At 45.6% G+C, this 16,269-nt stretch overlaps 2 long non-coding RNA genes across 7 annotated transcripts in view, besides 1 other annotated feature; one reads left to right on the top strand and one right to left on the bottom strand.

The window, feature by feature from the left end:
* Nucleotides 1–16,269, bottom strand: part of LINC02751 (long intergenic non-protein coding RNA 2751) — a 152,600-nt gene that overhangs the window by 102,078 nt on the left and 34,253 nt on the right. The window contains exons 4-5 of one of the 5 annotated variants that reach the window (NR_169506.1): nucleotides 14,228–14,748; nucleotides 157–593 (exon numbers count right to left, since the gene is read on the bottom strand). The exons of 3 other annotated variants lie outside the window; for them this stretch is intronic. This is a non-coding gene — a long non-coding RNA (long intergenic non-protein coding RNA 2751). Of the gene's footprint in view, nucleotides 1–156; nucleotides 594–14,227; nucleotides 14,749–16,269 lie in introns of those variants that run through there. One more of the 5 variants, NR_169505.1, reaches the window with a different exon arrangement.
* LOC105376568 (uncharacterized) overlaps nucleotides 1–16,269 on the top strand; it is a 51,914-nt gene that overhangs the window by 20,433 nt on the left and 15,212 nt on the right. The window contains exon 3 of one of the 2 annotated variants that reach the window (XR_931072.4): nucleotides 14,045–14,214. The exons of the other annotated variant lie outside the window; for it this stretch is intronic. This is a non-coding gene — a long non-coding RNA (uncharacterized LOC105376568). The remainder of the gene's footprint in view (nucleotides 1–14,044; nucleotides 14,215–16,269) is intronic. 2 annotated transcript variants of the gene reach the window in all.
* Nucleotides 13,848–14,349: an enhancer, noted in NCBI's record as "NANOG hESC enhancer chr11:15610492-15610993 (GRCh37/hg19 assembly coordinates)". NCBI's record gives its function as "activates a minimal SCP1, AML or CMV promoter by ChIP-STARR-seq in primed H9 embryonic stem cells {active_cell/tissue: H9 hESC(primed)}" and the evidence as "EXISTENCE:reporter gene assay evidence [ECO:0000049][PMID:30033119]".

Below are 16,269 nucleotides of genomic sequence, written 5' to 3'. Positions count from 1 at the left end.
ACTGTCATTTTCCATCAGACCGTCATCTTCCACGGATTCAAAATTACACTCAGCTGCAAACTATTGACACTCCTCTTAACAAAAAAATGGTTTTAATAAATCTTTACATTAGCCTATGAGATAAAAAAAATCTTTACCATGAAATATACAAGTGTATAAGTGTTTTATGAAAGTTTTATTAACTTTACAAAAGAAAAATTGGCAGTGGACCATGAACATCCTGTACTCCTAACACGTGGTTATAAATTACATGTTCTTTCCAATAACATCTGAAAAAGAGACTGTAATTTAAATTTCAAAACCACTTGGCATACCTACTATATAGTGCTGACATGAAGTAAAAGGAGGAACTAGAGAGGCCCAGACAAAGAAGGGAAATATAAAGACGTCCTTAGCTAAAAAGCTGCTGATGGGTACAATCCCCCCTCCAGCTGGACAGGGATCAAGTACTTGCTTGTCATATCATTCAATGCACTGTTCAATCTGGGATTCTTCCTTTCAACAAAAAGAGAACTTAAGTGCTAGTAATCATCGCTTGCAGAACTTTATCTCCCAGATACCTTCTTTATGTCAGGATTTCTCAATGACCGCTGCTGCTGGCAGAGAGATCAAAGTTGTTATTAAACACAAATGCGAACCCTAGCCCATGCAGGAGGTGTGCGCCATGGCACTCCCTCCCTGGGATGTAAGCCTACCACTACCTTAGTGATTTTTCATTTTCTGTCTCTGCTCCTTAGGCTATTAAGGAAACTTCCTGTAGGGTCTGTCCAATACAGGGGTTGGGGTCCAGCTTTTCTTTGCAAGTGAGTGCTTCAGTGTCAAGAATATTTTGGGACATTAAGGTCACCTGGTGGGATTTGAAGAAGCCCCTCGGAAGTGAGCAGATGGCATAGATCTGGCGGTAGCCTGCAAAGTTCACCGCTTTGGGGAAAGCAGATATCTACCAGGATCTCAGCAGCACTAAGCCTGCCTTCCAGGCAGCAGCATTGCAGAAAAGCATAATATAAAGTCATGCAAACCTGGATTCAAAGTCCAATTTTGCTAGTTACTACCTGTGTGATTCTGAGCAAGTTACTTAACCTCTCTCTTCCCTGAGTCATACTGATAAGGTATCAAAGTCTGAAGCAGTTTTCTTTGGCCTTCAAGCTCACCATTTAACACAGCCTGAAGATGGGGACTAGGGCCACCCTCCCAGATCCAAGAATCTGGCATCTGTTGAAAATGGTCAGTGAGAGGTGCACACCAAGATGGCCCTGCAGACATACTCTCCCAAGGCCTAAGATTTCGTGGTTCCATTTAAGTGGTGAAATTTCCAGTTTGCCACTGACAAAAAGCCGAGCCTCTAAGATGTGTACCCAGGTTGGGGTGCCATGTCAGACAGCCCAGACTGGGAACTAGAAAACAATCCTGGGAGACCCTCTTAGTTGGGTGGCGGGTGACACTGCAAAGTTCAGCAGGGTTTCTGCACATAGATCCAGGCCCAAGTCTTAGAGTGAGTGTCTTGGAGTCTTCCTATAGTAGAAAGAAATGAATTTCCACTCAGATAAGGGGTATTTTAATGGTTCTTACAGAAACACCTGAGTTGGGAGACTCCTGCTAACATACGTTCCTCTGCTTTCACTTGGTATGGTTAATTTTTGAATGCATTTTCTTCGTTGTTGGATTCACTGATTGATTGAAATCAAATGAGGAAGAAAGCCCTGTGCTGGAGTGACTTTGGAGATTAGACGATGTGGGATCTAAATGGCCCCATTTCCAATTACAAAAGGGTAATATGTGCCCTTAATGGAAAAGCACAACAACTTTTGACCAAATAAATTATTTTCTTCCAGTTCAAAATAAGTGACGGTCCTTACAAAGTAGAACTTGCCCTCCTTCCAAATGTGTTGAAGGAAAGTGACATGTGTCTTGGATGCAGAATTACAAGGACATCATATTAATCTGCTGGGGTCGCATCACCCCAGATGAGAAGGCAGCCAGACGATGTGGGGTGGGGAACTTGAAGCGCAGCGCCTGAGAACAGCTGTGACTGCATGGAGGTCACAGTCAGGGACTAGGCAGGAGCCAGCACTGCCCAAACTTCATTATGTAGAAAAAATGCACCCAGTAGCAAGATGCCGAAGATCTGAGAATCGGTGAGAAAAGTTCATTTGGACTGAAGGGAACTTGATTAATTTTAAGCCTGGTGTGTTGCTACTGCCTCCCTGACTTAGTCTTCAGAATATTAATGAGTGGTTTGAGGAAAAGAAACAGCACAGGAGATGTACCTGAGGATGCAGCCCACTCTTCTTAATGACAATAGCAGCAACAAGAGCAATAATGACAACAGCTATAGTGACATGGAAAAGGGCTCACGTTTACTGAGGGCTCATCATGTACCAGGCCTTGAGGTTGATATGCATTATCCTATTTATTCTTCACAACAGTCCTCTGAGGTAGCTATTATGTGTTCTTATCTCCAATTTGCAAACAAAAACTCTTTGGCACAGAGGGATAAAATGAGTTGTCCAAAGGCACATAGCCTGAGGTTTGCACCACATGCGATCTTTCATTTTCCAAGGCCTCCTCAAACCTGAACACCCACCATGTGTGCCCACCTGCAGGCTGGGCCTTCACTGGAAATGATCTCCAGGGCTGACTGCCTCCTCCCAGCCCATCTCAGGATTTGGCTAGGCATGTCCAGATGCTCCCTGGCAGGCAGAAAGGGATTGGACACTGACCTGGAGCTGTCTGAAGGGCTGGGCATATGTCAGGGCATCTGACCCAGGGATAGGAGCTGACATGAGGGGCTCCCGATATCAGGAAAAGCCTGACACATGAGGATGTCACCATCTCCCAACTATAGTGGGAAGGCTGACCTAGTAAGTGGGTGGGACACAGAAGTGGGGAAATTAGGCTGATAGTTGTAATCTAAGAAGCCCTGATGGGCAGGAGGCAGGCCCTATCACCAGCCAGGGAAGCAGGTGAGAGGGAGAGAACAGGAGCTGGGGAGAGGAATGGAGTTCCTTGGCCTGAAACAGGCTGGCCAGGGTAAGAGAGGGCCCATGTCCTGGATGGGGGCTGGAGGCAGGGCAGAGCCCTGTCACAGAGACTTGGAGCCAAGCTCTAAGCCCAAATTCCAGCATCAGACCCAGATTACATGGTATAGGGATAAGATGCTAGGGCATAGGGCCATTGACCCCCATGGAGGCACAACGTCAGCAGTGGAAGAACTGCAAGAATTAATTATTCTTAAGAAATGGACTCTGAAGCTGGGACCGAACAAAACCCTGAACTCATTCAATGATGCTCTTTCGATCTCCCTTGCTCTCTCTCTTCATTCATTCATTAATGCATTCATTCCACAAGTATTATCTGAGCAATTATTCTGTGACAGACATGGGTATAAAGATAAATGAGATAAACGAGAGCTCCCAGTCTATCTACTAGGAGACAGTCCTATAATCAAAGGTATATACCAGGAAAAAAAGGTCACAGTTGTGGTTTAGATGCAGGGCTATGAAAGCCTAGAGGAGGAGCACCTGATTCTGCCTGGGCTGGTCTAGGAAGGCTTTCTGAAGGAGGTGAGGGATGATAGAGTAGAATCTTAGAGCTTAATTCTTAAACAGGTAGACACAGGGCAATGAGGGAGGTGACTGAGGAGCAGGCGACAGCTTGGGCAAAGGTACAGAGGACAGAGAGCATATGGCCCATCTGAAATTGGCCCTGAAACCTGAGTGCAGACATATGGGGTAAGAAAGGAAGGGACTCTCCTCATTTTTAGAGGAGGAAATGGGCTCATGCGCCATGAACCAATGGTGAGCCAGCGCTAGAATCCAGGTCTCTCCACTCTCAGTGCCCAGCCAGACCACTTCAGAGAACAGTTAATGTTGCAGAAGAGTCTTTGGTTGCAGACAGATCTGATGGGATCTCACACCTTAGCTACGCCCCCACAAAGGTGAGGAGCTGAAATTGCTTACTTCTTTGAGCCTGAGATTATCATTACAAGGGGTAGGGAGAGCTATTAACACTGATCTTACAGATTGATCTGAAACAAAAATGGAGAATTAAATCAGATAATGCTGGAACTGAATAGCTTGTTGTTAGTGGAGCTTTGCCATTTGTCTTGCTTTGTTCATTTGTTTAGGGGAAGATTAGGGTGACTGCACATGCCAGGGAGACAGGAACAGGGCTCTGGGACAGGGGACCCCACTAGGGGGGCTGAGTTAGTAACCCAAGCATGAGGTGATCAGGATGGCAGTTGCTGCAAATATGTTGTGCAGAAGGAGGGAAGCTTGTGGAGAAGATAGCATTTATTAAACACCTACTGTGTGCCAGGAGTTGCATTAGGAATTGATTTACATCATTTAATTCAATATTTACCATAACCCAGTGTCTCAATGTATGGGCTGGAAAATATGGTAGCTGGATGGAGAAGGGGGACTGATGTTTATTCAGTGACATCTAGCAGGCATCAATTGTTTTTCATTCAATATCTCACATATGCTTTTTACATACATGTGATATACACTCATATTAGTCCTGTGACAGCAATACTATTCCCATTCTGTAGATGAGGAAATAAGACTGGAAGGAGTTAATGGCTTGTTCAAGATCACATAGTTACACATTGGGCAGGCTCAGAATTTGAACTCAGCTTTCTTGGCTCCAAAGTCAACGTGTTCTCCATCTCACTGGGTGTCAGATAGGAAGAGGAGCATGTCAGAATATTTCTTTCCTTTCCGCAGTCATTCATTTTCAACACTTTTCTCTGCCCTCATTTTGTCATTTTAGGCCCCAAATTACCTTGCTTTCCTGTCTCTAGACCACATCAGCCAAGACTTCCTAGCCAGGCTGAGACAAAAACGGTCCATTTAAAGACTGGAAGTCCAAGTACGTTGTAGCTTCTCCAGGTCCTTGTTAACTGGTTTTCCTTCTTGTGACTGGTCTGAATGTTGGGGGTGGGGCAGTGAGCAGGGTAGAAGCTGGGCTTTTGTCATTAAGGAGACCAGGAGGGGCTGGGCGTGGTGGCTCATGTCTGTAATCCCAGCACTTCGGGAGGCCGAGGCAGGCAGATCACAAGGTCAGGAGTTCGAGATCAGCCTGACCAGCATGGTGAAACCCCACCTCTACTAAAAATACAAGAATTAGTTGAGGGTGGTGGCATGTGCCTGTAATCTCAGCTACTCAGGAGGCTGAGGCAGGAGAATTGCTTGAACCTGGGAGGTGGAGGTTGCAGTGAGCCAAGATGGCACCACTGCTGGACAGAGCAAGACTCCTTCTCAAAAAAAAAAAAAAAAAAAAAAAAGACGAGGAGGGAAGAGACATAAGGGAGAAAGCAACCTGGTTTGCAATGCAAAGATCACACATTAAACTTTCTATTACTCTCCAACAGAGGTTTGCAATTTTCTATTTTCAACACTCAATTTCATTCTTAAAATGAAATTCTACTTGAGAGCCCAACATATAAAAGATATAAAAGAGATTCTGCCTTTGTTGAATTGGGAGGGGGTGGTCTGAAGGCCTGACCACTGACATCCATCACCCTTGAACCGCCTCGCAGGACCTCAGGGCTTCTTCGAACCCAGTTTGAAAACTGTGGATCTGCTCTGTGACTTTGGATATAGAATGTACAATATATAGTTAATTACCACAAAGGGAAGTAAAATCCCTAATTTTGTAGGGATGTCTAGGTCCTGATGGAGTGAGGTTAACCCTGGACACAGGTACAGCTCTTCAAAGGATAAAGGAAAGTAAACTCACATCTACTGAGCACCTAGTAAGTACCAGGTATTTTGTGTACCCAGTAAGTGCCGAAACATCGCCCCAGTTATTTTGTACAAAGGTAGGACTTCTCCAAACTTATGGCCCTATTTCTCAGATGATTTAAAGTCTAAAGGGTTAGGTAACTTGGCTCAAGGTCACACAAGTCAGGAGTGGTCAGCACAGGAATTCAAGCCACACCTCTTTATGAAAAGAAATACACTCAATCTCAGTCCTATGTTAAGTGACTTTATGTTAAGGAGGATACAGAAGGTACCCAGGATCTGGAGTACCTGAAGGTACTTCCTTACAGCACCAGAGATATGAAAGGGACAAGATACGTATAACATAGTGTCACTCATAGAGCCCTGCAGTGGGAACCAAGAAATTGAAGATTCTAGTTCCCCTGGCTCTGCTCTTGACTTACCAGGCAATGGACCTTCCTGTTCAAGTTGCAGGGCTGGGCTGAGGAATGGGTAGATGGGACAGTACTTTGAAGACTTATAGTTTCTGTGAACAGATGAGGGAATTTTGTAGGGTTGACTGTAGATATGACCAGTTGCTAAATCAGTTCCTAATGATTTTACATTATTCTAACCAACTCAAAAACTGCACAGTATGCCACAGATAAACTCCATGAATGTACAGCTCCTATGGGCTACAGAAGCCAGCAGCAGGGAAAGAGCCAGGGATTTGGAGCCAAAAGAACTGGGATGGATTTCTGGCCCCAGCACTTGGTAGCTGTGTGACCTTGAGTAAATTGCTCAGCTTACCCTTTTTGATCCTAAGTTTCTTGCCTGTGAAAACCCCATCTGACAAGGTTATCGTGAGAATTAAATGTGCAAACGTGCAAAGTGTCGAATGCAGTCTGGCAAATAGCATGTAGTACATGTAAGCACCCTTCCTCTTCTTTCTTTTCTCCACTCTCTAAATAGAAAAATCATTAAAAGTAGGTGGTAGCTCCTAAAAACTCCTGTTCATCCTTCAAAACCTGGATTTGTGATACTTCTTTCAGCAAATCTTCCTTGAGCCTCCACGACAGAGCTGACACCACCTCCAAGTTATCTGGGGACTTTGTATTTGATTCTATTACTTCTTGTTATAATATTACTTACATATTGTAATTTCCTGTTTTTATGTCCATTTTCCCCAGGAGACTGTGAGCTCCCTAGTTGAAGCCTGGCACAAACGAGTTTGCTAGACTCATTTGGGGAGTTGTCAATAACCCCCAAGTAACCCCTACATCAACCCAGCCAGCATTCCACTGATGACTGGGAAAGTTGGACAGCCTTCCACCCAAAACTGGACAATTCATTTAATCTGCTCTCCAGAAGAGCTCTGTGCTGTTAGCCGTCTTTTGTGAAAAGCAATTCTGCAGGATCCTCAGGAAAAAACTAACACGGTGTGTGTGTGTGTGTGTGTGTGTGTGTGTGTGTGTGTGTGTGTGTGTGTGTGTGTGTGTTTATGGAAAAATTCCACAGTCATTTTTTTGGCACTGAAATTCTTGAGTTTTTAAGGAGGAGGATTTTTGCTCTTCTTGATGCCTTCACCCAATATGATGGAAACATAGTGAAATGTCAAGCACTGCTCCAGTGTTTTCTTTTTTTATTTTCTTTTTAATTCCTGCTTTACTGGAGTAAGAAACTGGCCCTTGTCAAGACTAATCTGCAGAGAATGCTGGCAACCAATCATACAATGTCAGGTTGAGCTTGGATCTGGGCCCTGGGGCAAGCTTGTTTATCTGTAAAATGGGATCCTGGGTACTCACCTTGCAGGCTTGTGATAGGGATAAGGGAGGCTGTGGGTGCTGCGTGCTTAGCAGAGTGCTGGCACGTTGCAGATCCCTTTCCTATTCCCAGGTTACCTCATTACATTCTTACAATGCTCTACTGTATATAGAGAGCCATCCCTAAGTTCTAGGTAGCTTGTGTTAAATTTAACTAAAGTTGGCCTGAAGATGCCTCAGTACCTTGAGTATTTACATAACAAACTGCACCTTACTTAGTACGTAAACAGAATAAAAGCCTAATTTAGGAGTATGCATTTTTTGTGACAAGTAGTTGTGTCTCAGCCAATAACAAGATGCTGAGGTTCAGCCAATCACGGGCAGTCAACTCATCACACCACATCCAAATACGGCCAATGCTGAGCTGTAACCAGTGAAGCTGTTGCTGTGCCTCACTTCCGTTCCGTTTCCTGGTTCTGAGGGGGCTCGATTTGCGAATAGTTCTTGGCTCAACTAAACTTTGTTAAATTTAATTTGCTGAAATTTTTTTTTTTTCACGCCTGGAAGTGTGTGTAAAGTGCCTCCGTAGGTAGGCAGCAGAGCTAAGACTGGAAGTCAGGATTGCTGGACTCCACAGCCCATGGGAAATGTGTCCCTCCTTCATAAAGAAGCCTGAGTCTTCTCATTGAGATTGTTCTCTTTAGCTGTGTAATGGGCTTGCCACAGATGCCCTCTTAACTCATGCCCAGGTGCCCCCTTTTGGCTCTCTGCTAGCTGCCCCTGTTCCCTGGCTGAGTTAGACAGGAAACTCCCTTGGACCACATGTAGAAGGATCGAAGAAGTGGAAAAATAAAGTAAGCAACAGTGACTTCTGATGGGTGTGAAGAATGCAGCTGCAAAGCTGCAGAGATGGCCGTGCTGGGGCTGGCAGGAAGCTCGGGCTCCACAAGGAACGCACTGGTCAGTCTCAGGAGCAGCCTCAGCCAGGTGGCCTCCTCCCCAGCAATTTCCTTCCAGGACCCCCTGTGGAGCCAGTGAAATGAATGCCAATACAACTGCTGCCCAGGTACAAACAGGCCTCTGGGGGGCTGGGGCTGCAGGTAGCTTGTTTAACACAAGCTAACAGCAGGATGTGGTGGATGCCATGGTGTGCTGCCCACCTCCCCTGGAGGACCAAGGCACTGTCTCCCTTAGTTGACAGGCTGTTGCATCCCTCCCTGGGGGTTGCTCTCAGCTGCAGGGTACTGCCCCACCCAACATCACGTCCTCTCGCTGGAGGCACAAAGCCTCGGCCCATAGATTCATTTGGGACAACCTTGAAGAACCCTCTCAGCTCCAGAGCTCCCCATGACCTCTGCTGAGGCTGCTGTCCCTCTGCTCTGTCCTGCTTTCTTTCCTCAAGTACTCCTCAGTGAACCCTTGCATGCTAATCCCACAGTTTCAGCCAGTTTCCCAGGAGCTGCACCTAAGACCACGGAGAACTCTAGCCTGGAAGATTGAAAAACTTAGTTCTATACACTGTTTTGTTACTAACTTGTTGTGTCACCTCAGGCAAGTCCCAGCTTCTCTCTGGGCCTTCAACTGCAAAATGAGGGAATTCTACCTGAAAGTTCCTTTCAACCGGGACTGTCCTTGAGTTGGGCTGAAACAGGAGCTCAGGGCAAGTCCACAATATCTGGTCTCTCATGAGTAGGGACCAGGCATTTGCTGCTTGCCTGTGACAATCTCAGGTAATTCAGTGTAATTGTTGTTAGTGTCCCTTTCGCTCTCAACACTGTCTTGGTTTGGATGATTCTTTTTTTTTTTTTTTTTTTGGTTATCCTACTGAAGATACCTGGGACATGAGGGAGATGCAGCCAGGAGGAGAAAGCACAGAGTGAATTCAGAGGGTCCAGAGTGCTGTCTGTCCCTGTGTCTTCTGCACCCTCTCCCTGGCCCTGTGGCACCAGATGAGCTCCAATCCTGCAGATTAAGCATCTCCGCCTGACTCTTCTGTGGCCTTTTTGTTCCCCGGGGTCTGCAGATGGAGGGCACATAGTACAGCCAGCCTTTATGGGGGCAGCAAAGAGTTAAAGCAGCTCCCTGAGCGCCAGACAACAGCCTCATCAGCAGGCCCTGATTCTGATTAAACAGCTGTGCGGAGAGGTATAGAATATATGTGTGAGTGAGCCAGTGTGTGAGGGTGAGAAGGGTGGGGGAGACTGTTTGTAACTAAACATGTCTGAGAATCCATGTGGCATGTGTGAGTATGGCTGAGCGAGTGCACACCGGCACATAGGTGCCTCTGTGTGCATTTGTATAAATGTGGGAACATGTGCACATAAACGTGTGTGTTTGAAAAGTAAGTATATATGTATGTGTAGGACTGAGAATGCAAGGATCTGTATCTGCAGATGAGTATATGGCCTGTGTGAGTATGTGAAGCATTTTGAAAATCAACAAGTATTTAAAAATAATAGTCATGATTTAAATGTGTAGTATGGGCACAAGTGGGTGGCTGTGCATACATGTGCAAAGGTCTTTGTGGATGAGAAGAGCTGGGAGGGGCGGTCATGTAAGTGGGCATCCAGGGCAACTATCTCATTCTCCAGGTAAGGAAACTGGGGTTCATAGACGCGACCCATTCAAGGTCACAAGATTACCTGTGAGATGGAGTGGATTATTCTAGTTCCTCACTCCTTCCTGCCATGTGACTTGCAGAACAGGAGAGTGAGCAGAGTCTGTTTTCCTGCCCCATCATTGTTGGCCTTGACCATGGGACTTGTTTTGACCAATGGGATGTGAGTTAAGTGAGGGGTTGCCAGCTAAAATCTAAGATCTTAAGGGGCACGTGCACTTCTATCAATACCTTGAAAATTTGCTGCAGGGAAAGATGTAGCTCCCAGAAATATGAGAGATCTGTAGAATTCCCTCAATGCAATGTCTAGAATGCAATGTCTAGAGTCAGCCTAGAGTCAACCCCAGCTGACCCCGAAGCCTGAAGCAGAACTGCCACCAGCATTTACCTGCCAAATCACAGATGATCTGCATTTCTGTGAGCATGGTAATCAATATTTTTTGTAAGCCACCACGAATTTGAAGTGGTCTGTGATGGAAACAGCTAGCTAATACATCTGGTATGACTGGAGCTTAGGATGTAGGCCCTATACCTGGGTTTCTAGCTTCTCTGGGGTCACCTGAGCAACTAGGTCCCATCCCAGAAATTGTGGTTTAATTGGTCTGGGTGCTGGGCTGTGCTTTAGACATTCTAAAAGATCTCCAGGTGAATTTGAACATGCAGACAAGTGTTTGGATCCCTGCCCTACACTACAGAGATGGGATGACAGAGGTATAAGCACAGGCTTGATGAAGCTTTAAACACCAAGCCAAAGAGCTTGGACTTCATTCTGAGAGTGACGTGGAAACAGCGAAGGGTTTTAAGGAGGATGAAGACATGTTTATATTCATGTTTTAAAAGGATCACCCAGGCAGTTCCAGGGCATTCTGGAAGCCACGCCTTTATCTGGCTGGGCTGCAGGGTTTCCTACTAACTTCTGCCTGACAAGGTATGGGATGTAGACTTGTACCTGGACACTCTTTCTGGTTCAGGACCTGTTTCCCAAGTGCTCAGTACACACTCAGGTGGCCCCACAGCTGCTAATAACTGTCTTAAAAGAGGAGCAAGAAAACAATCTGCAACTTTTTCCAGAAATCCCATGGCTGCTACCGGAATTCAGGCCTCACCACCTCTAACTTGGAATATTACATCCCCTCCACTGGCCCTGTCTGCTCCCCTTCCACCCCTCCTTCCTCCATGTGAAGCCCAGCTGGTACTGTTTCTGCCCTACCGGAGAGGCAGCCCTGGCTCCTATTCCTATAGGATAGTTTCACACCCTTTCCCAGGGAGTCAAGGCCCCTCCTACTGCAGCCCTGATCTTTCTAGCTTCATCTTCCATTGCAACCTTCCAGGGGCCTTTGCATGAACTGAAACACATCTGCAATTGTCTTCCTCCATGCTTTTGAACATACCAATCTGTGCCAGGAATGCTCTCCTCTGACCCCTCCACCTGTCAAAGTCATGGTTAACTTTACGGCCTACTTAGGGGCCTCGTTCTCTAGGAAATAAATATTCCTAGACTCCCACAACCTCAGACAGAATGACTGCCTCCTTCCTCAGAGCACTAAAGCCTGTCCTTTGTCCCCTCATTTTCCATGCAGGCAATTGATATCCACATCTCCCTCCACCTTTCTGAGCCCCTGCAACCTGGGATCCTTGCCCTCCCATCTCCTCCAGCACTCTGCCCCTAGCAGTGCCAGGCAGGAAGGAGCTGCCAGGTACATGTTTGCTGAGTTGGCCTGAATTTCTTGCCCCATATCTGGGCTGAAGGGATAGCAAGGGCAGTGGGGCTGGCTCCACGCCCTGGAGAGATCCTCCCACCAGCCTCCCCCGTCCTCTCTCTCTCTGCCAGATTCTCGGGGATGCTCAGCCTTTGAGGGCTTGAGACAAATGCATCTCCTGGAATGTTCCTGCCCTCCCTTATCAGAGCAAGGGCTGGGCCATTGACAGTTCTGTGGTCCACAGGCCAAAGTGTCCTAGAAGGTCACAGGCTTTATCTTGTTTATGTCTGTGACTTTTCCTGAGGCTCCTCTCTTCTTGACAGTGTCACGGAGCAGGACTGCTGCCTGGGACGTGTCTGGAAAGTGGCCCACTCCTTCAGGGCCAGGGAAGAGAACCAAGTCATTGATGCTGGTGGGGCATTCCAGGACAATCTGTGGAAGAACATGGTTTCTTCTTTAACCGCCTGTGATGACTAGCTTCTGAATTTTTAAAATATTTGGTGGGGGTAGGAAGAGAAGGGAACAATAGGAAAAGAAAGGGAAACAAGAACTACGAATCCCTGTAGTGTGCCCAACAGTAAAGAAAAATAGCAAGTGCAAAGGCCCTGAGGTAGAAACATGCTTAGTGTGTTCCAGGAATGCAAAACGGCCAGTGTGGCTGGAGTGGGTAGGGCAAGAGGAAGAGTGTTAAGAGTTGAGATTAAAAAGGAAGAGGAAGGCAGTTCATGTAAAGCCATGGTAGAGACTGTGGCTTTTACTTTGAATGAGCAATTCCATGACTCTCTTGAGTTTTCTAAAGGATCATCCTGACTGCTTTGGGAATCACAGTTTCCCCCTTCCTCCATAGTGAAGTCCTTTCTTCTGTCTTGTTTCCACCAGTTCTCTAGCATCTAGGATGGTGCCTCTCACAGAGTTAGCACTCAATAATTATTTCCTGAATGTGTTGGCCAGAATTCTGTTTCAAGCTTTTTCTTAGGCTCATGATGAGTGTTGAAGGCATTATGACTCTCACCCAGAGGGACACCATGTCTAGGAGCTTCTTCTCGTGTGGGCCCTGTTCTCCAGATGTCTGATGGGTAAGAAATTGGCATACAGTATCTTACAGCTGGCAAAAGCACAGCTGGATGCAATGCTGTGCACATCTGCTACCCACATGTCTAACCATGGACTTGACAGTCAGCCAGATATCTGTGAACATACTGTAGACAAGCAGGAGAAATGGGAAGTCCTAAGTACTAGCAACAGATGGTGACTACAGGTGGCCTTCAGGATAGCCTGTGGCCATTTTCCAGAGTGACCTTGGTCAACAGGCAGAGTTTCAGGCCCATGGCACATTCATTCCCCCAAACTCAAATTCAGGTTTATATGGTTAGGAGGATCCTGGGTGACTCCTTTCCTCAGCCTCAATTTCCTCATCTGTAAAATAGGAGATACCTGAACTGGAACAATTAAAATCAGTGGGCCGGAGAGTCTCATTGCACAATTGGCTATATTTATGGTCTTGGAAGGGTCTTTTTTTTTTTTCTCTGTGTCTTATTTCTACACAAAATAAAAATAATTGCAATGAGAGCTCTTCATCTCCCTAGGCAAAAGAGGGGAAGTGTCCCTCCCTCAGACATTCTGCCTGGAAACAGACTGTGCCTTGCACTTCAGTGGTTTGGGGGAAAAAAAAACTGACTTATTTTTGGTTTTCTTTTTTGTATCTTTCCCACTTTACTTATGAGGAGACCACTTTCTTAAATGAAAATGGAGACTCGGGCGCAATTAATATGTACCATAATTTTAAAATGCAACATTATTGAAGCTATTTTTCTCTCCAACTGCTATTCAATTATAGGCATGGGTGAATTTGCAGGGACCTATTTTAAGCCTTGGAGTCTCCAGTACATTTTAGGGATGTTCTTTAAAAGACATGGCAACATGCAAAAATCCCAGATGTTTGCTCAATGCTCTGAGTGTCTTTGAGCTGAGTGGGGAAAGAAAATGTCAATCAGGCCTGTTTGGGGAAGAGAAATTTAGGTTGGAATGCCTCACATAGCTCTATATCAACAGTCCCAGAAAGAAAGGTGTTTCCTTTCTGGGAAAGGAGACTTGAAATCCAAAGATTCCGCAGGGAGGAGACCATCTGGGGAGTAAGAGGAAGGAATTGAAGGCTGGGAGGCCTTTTACCTCAAATCCGCCGTGATTGGCGTTTCCTTTAGTCATCTCACGTAATCCTCACATAAACCCTTGACAGATGGTATCATCCCTGCTTTGCAGATAAGGAAATTGAGACTCAAAGAGGACCCCCATGGAGAAAGTAATGAAGCTTGAATTTAGACCCAAGATCATGTCCCTTTCACTTCCTCAGCCTGCCCAGGAAGTTTATAGCGTGCTCATGCCACAAACCCTGGAGCTGGATACGCGCTCAATTGGCTTGAAGACCTTGGGTAAGCTACTTACCTTTTATGTTCCTCAGTTTCTTCCTCTAAACTGGGGCTTGTAACTGTAGCTACCTCACAGGGCTGTTGCAAGGGTTAAAAGAGTTAATGCCCCTAGGGTATTAGGTAGGTGCCTGCTTGGCACATGGTAGGAGCTGCAATAAATTGTCTCTTCTTTTGATTACCCTGACACAAGCTGGAGTTGTCAGCTCTAGAATATGGAGAAGGGGGGGAATTATCCTCACCAACTTCTCTGTGCTCTTCTCATGGTTCCACCATCCAAGCTCCCTAAGATCCTTCAAAGTCTTCTTTTAAGTGCTTTCAAAGTCTTCTTTTCTGCTGCATCTTCCTTGATTCCACTCCCCTCCTTTACGGCCTAGGGTATATGACCTGCCTCCCTCCTCTTCACTTGTCCCCTGTATCATTCAAATATTGAGCATAAGCTTGGAACATCATCGTGGATTCATTCACCAAACGTGCCACTTAACATCTATATATACTGTGAGCAAGTTTCTCAAGATTTCAAAGACTTGGTTTCTCCATCTGTAAAATGGAAATAATAGTAATATACCTCTTTTTTTTTTTTTTTTTTGAGATGGAGTCTCACTCTGTCACCCAGGCTGGAGTGCAGTGGTGCCATGTCAGCTCATTGCAACCTCCGCCTCCTGTGTTCAAGCGATTCTCCCGCCTCAGTCTCCTGACAGCTGGGACTACAGGCGCGTGCCACCATGCCCGGCTAATTTTTTTTATTTTTAGTAGAGACGGGGTTTCACTGTGTTAGCCAGGATGGTCTTGATCTCCTGACCTCGTGATCTGCCCGCCTCAACCTCCCAAAGTGTTGGGATTACAGGCGTGAGCCACTGCGCCCGGCCAATAGTATTATGTCTTTTAGAGGACTGCTGTGATAATTAAATGTTATTAACATATTGAAAAGTCTTAGATGATTGTTTGTTCAATTTTAGTTATTATTATCTATCAATGCCTAAAATGCTAAATTTGATTCCCTTTTCTAATTTCTACCCATCATTTAAGAGCCAGCTAAACTTCCACATTTCATTTCTATCCCTCATGCAACCTTCCCAGAATTAATCTTCTTTCTCCCATAAATTCCTTGCGGCAATACCTATCAGAGACTGCTGGGCCTTTTGGACTAGTATCTGTGTACCTTTCTGCTTCTTGGAGGAGTACAGACAGACCCCCTTTTGTCCATTTGTAAGTCAAAGGCTGGCTTTTCCTTTGGTGCCTGAGTCAAATCAGAGGTGATTGCTTTGTATTTTATGGGTACAGTGGTCCCGGATCTTCGGTCCCAAATAGATGTAACTTTAGTGAAGAGGGATATCAGAGATGATTGAACCAATCTCTCCATTGTACTGAGGAGGCCATGGAGGTCCAGAAACAAAAACAATTTCCCCAAAATTACAACAGCACAGGGAATCGGCAGGTCTTAAAGAGCACAGGATTTGGACTCAGAGAAGAAATCCTCAAATTTAAGCTACCATACTAACCAGTTATGACTTTGGGCAAATTACTTAAGCTCTCTGGACGTTGGCTTCTACTTCTGTTGAATAAGTATAAGAATACATGTCTTGCAGACTGTTATATTTAATGAGCTGACATAGAGATTTTATGGCACAGAGTGGGATAACCATTGTTATTACTCCATAGGGTTGTGGTATAGCAGATGAGATAATTTCCTTCCACTGTTCCAAGCTAACTTGCTTTTCCCTGAACAATTGGCTTCCAGTAATGCCTTTGAGGGGGCACTGAGAGCCAACCTCTACCCAGAGCCCTGGTGATCATCCAGCTCTTGAAACCCAAATCTCAGCATCAGCCCTGTGGGTTACAGCGTGTGGTACAAAGACCATGCTGGCCCCTTAAACAATGTTGTCTCTACACTCATCTGATTTGGGTCTCGTCTTTTTCACAGAAAGGATGGGATGCTTCTGTCTAACATATTTAATATTTTAAAAAAACAAACAAAGAAATGTGTTTCCCTAGATATTCCATTAGTGCTGGTAACAGCCACCATACCACACCCACAGTGGAGGCCAGGACAGATTTTCT

The sequence above is a fragment of the Homo sapiens genome, chromosome 11, assembly GCF_000001405.40.
Source record: "Homo sapiens chromosome 11, GRCh38.p14 Primary Assembly".
In the NCBI taxonomy this organism is placed as follows: Eukaryota; Metazoa; Chordata; class Mammalia; order Primates; family Hominidae; genus Homo; species Homo sapiens.
This window is presented reverse-complemented; position numbering and strand designations above follow the sequence as displayed.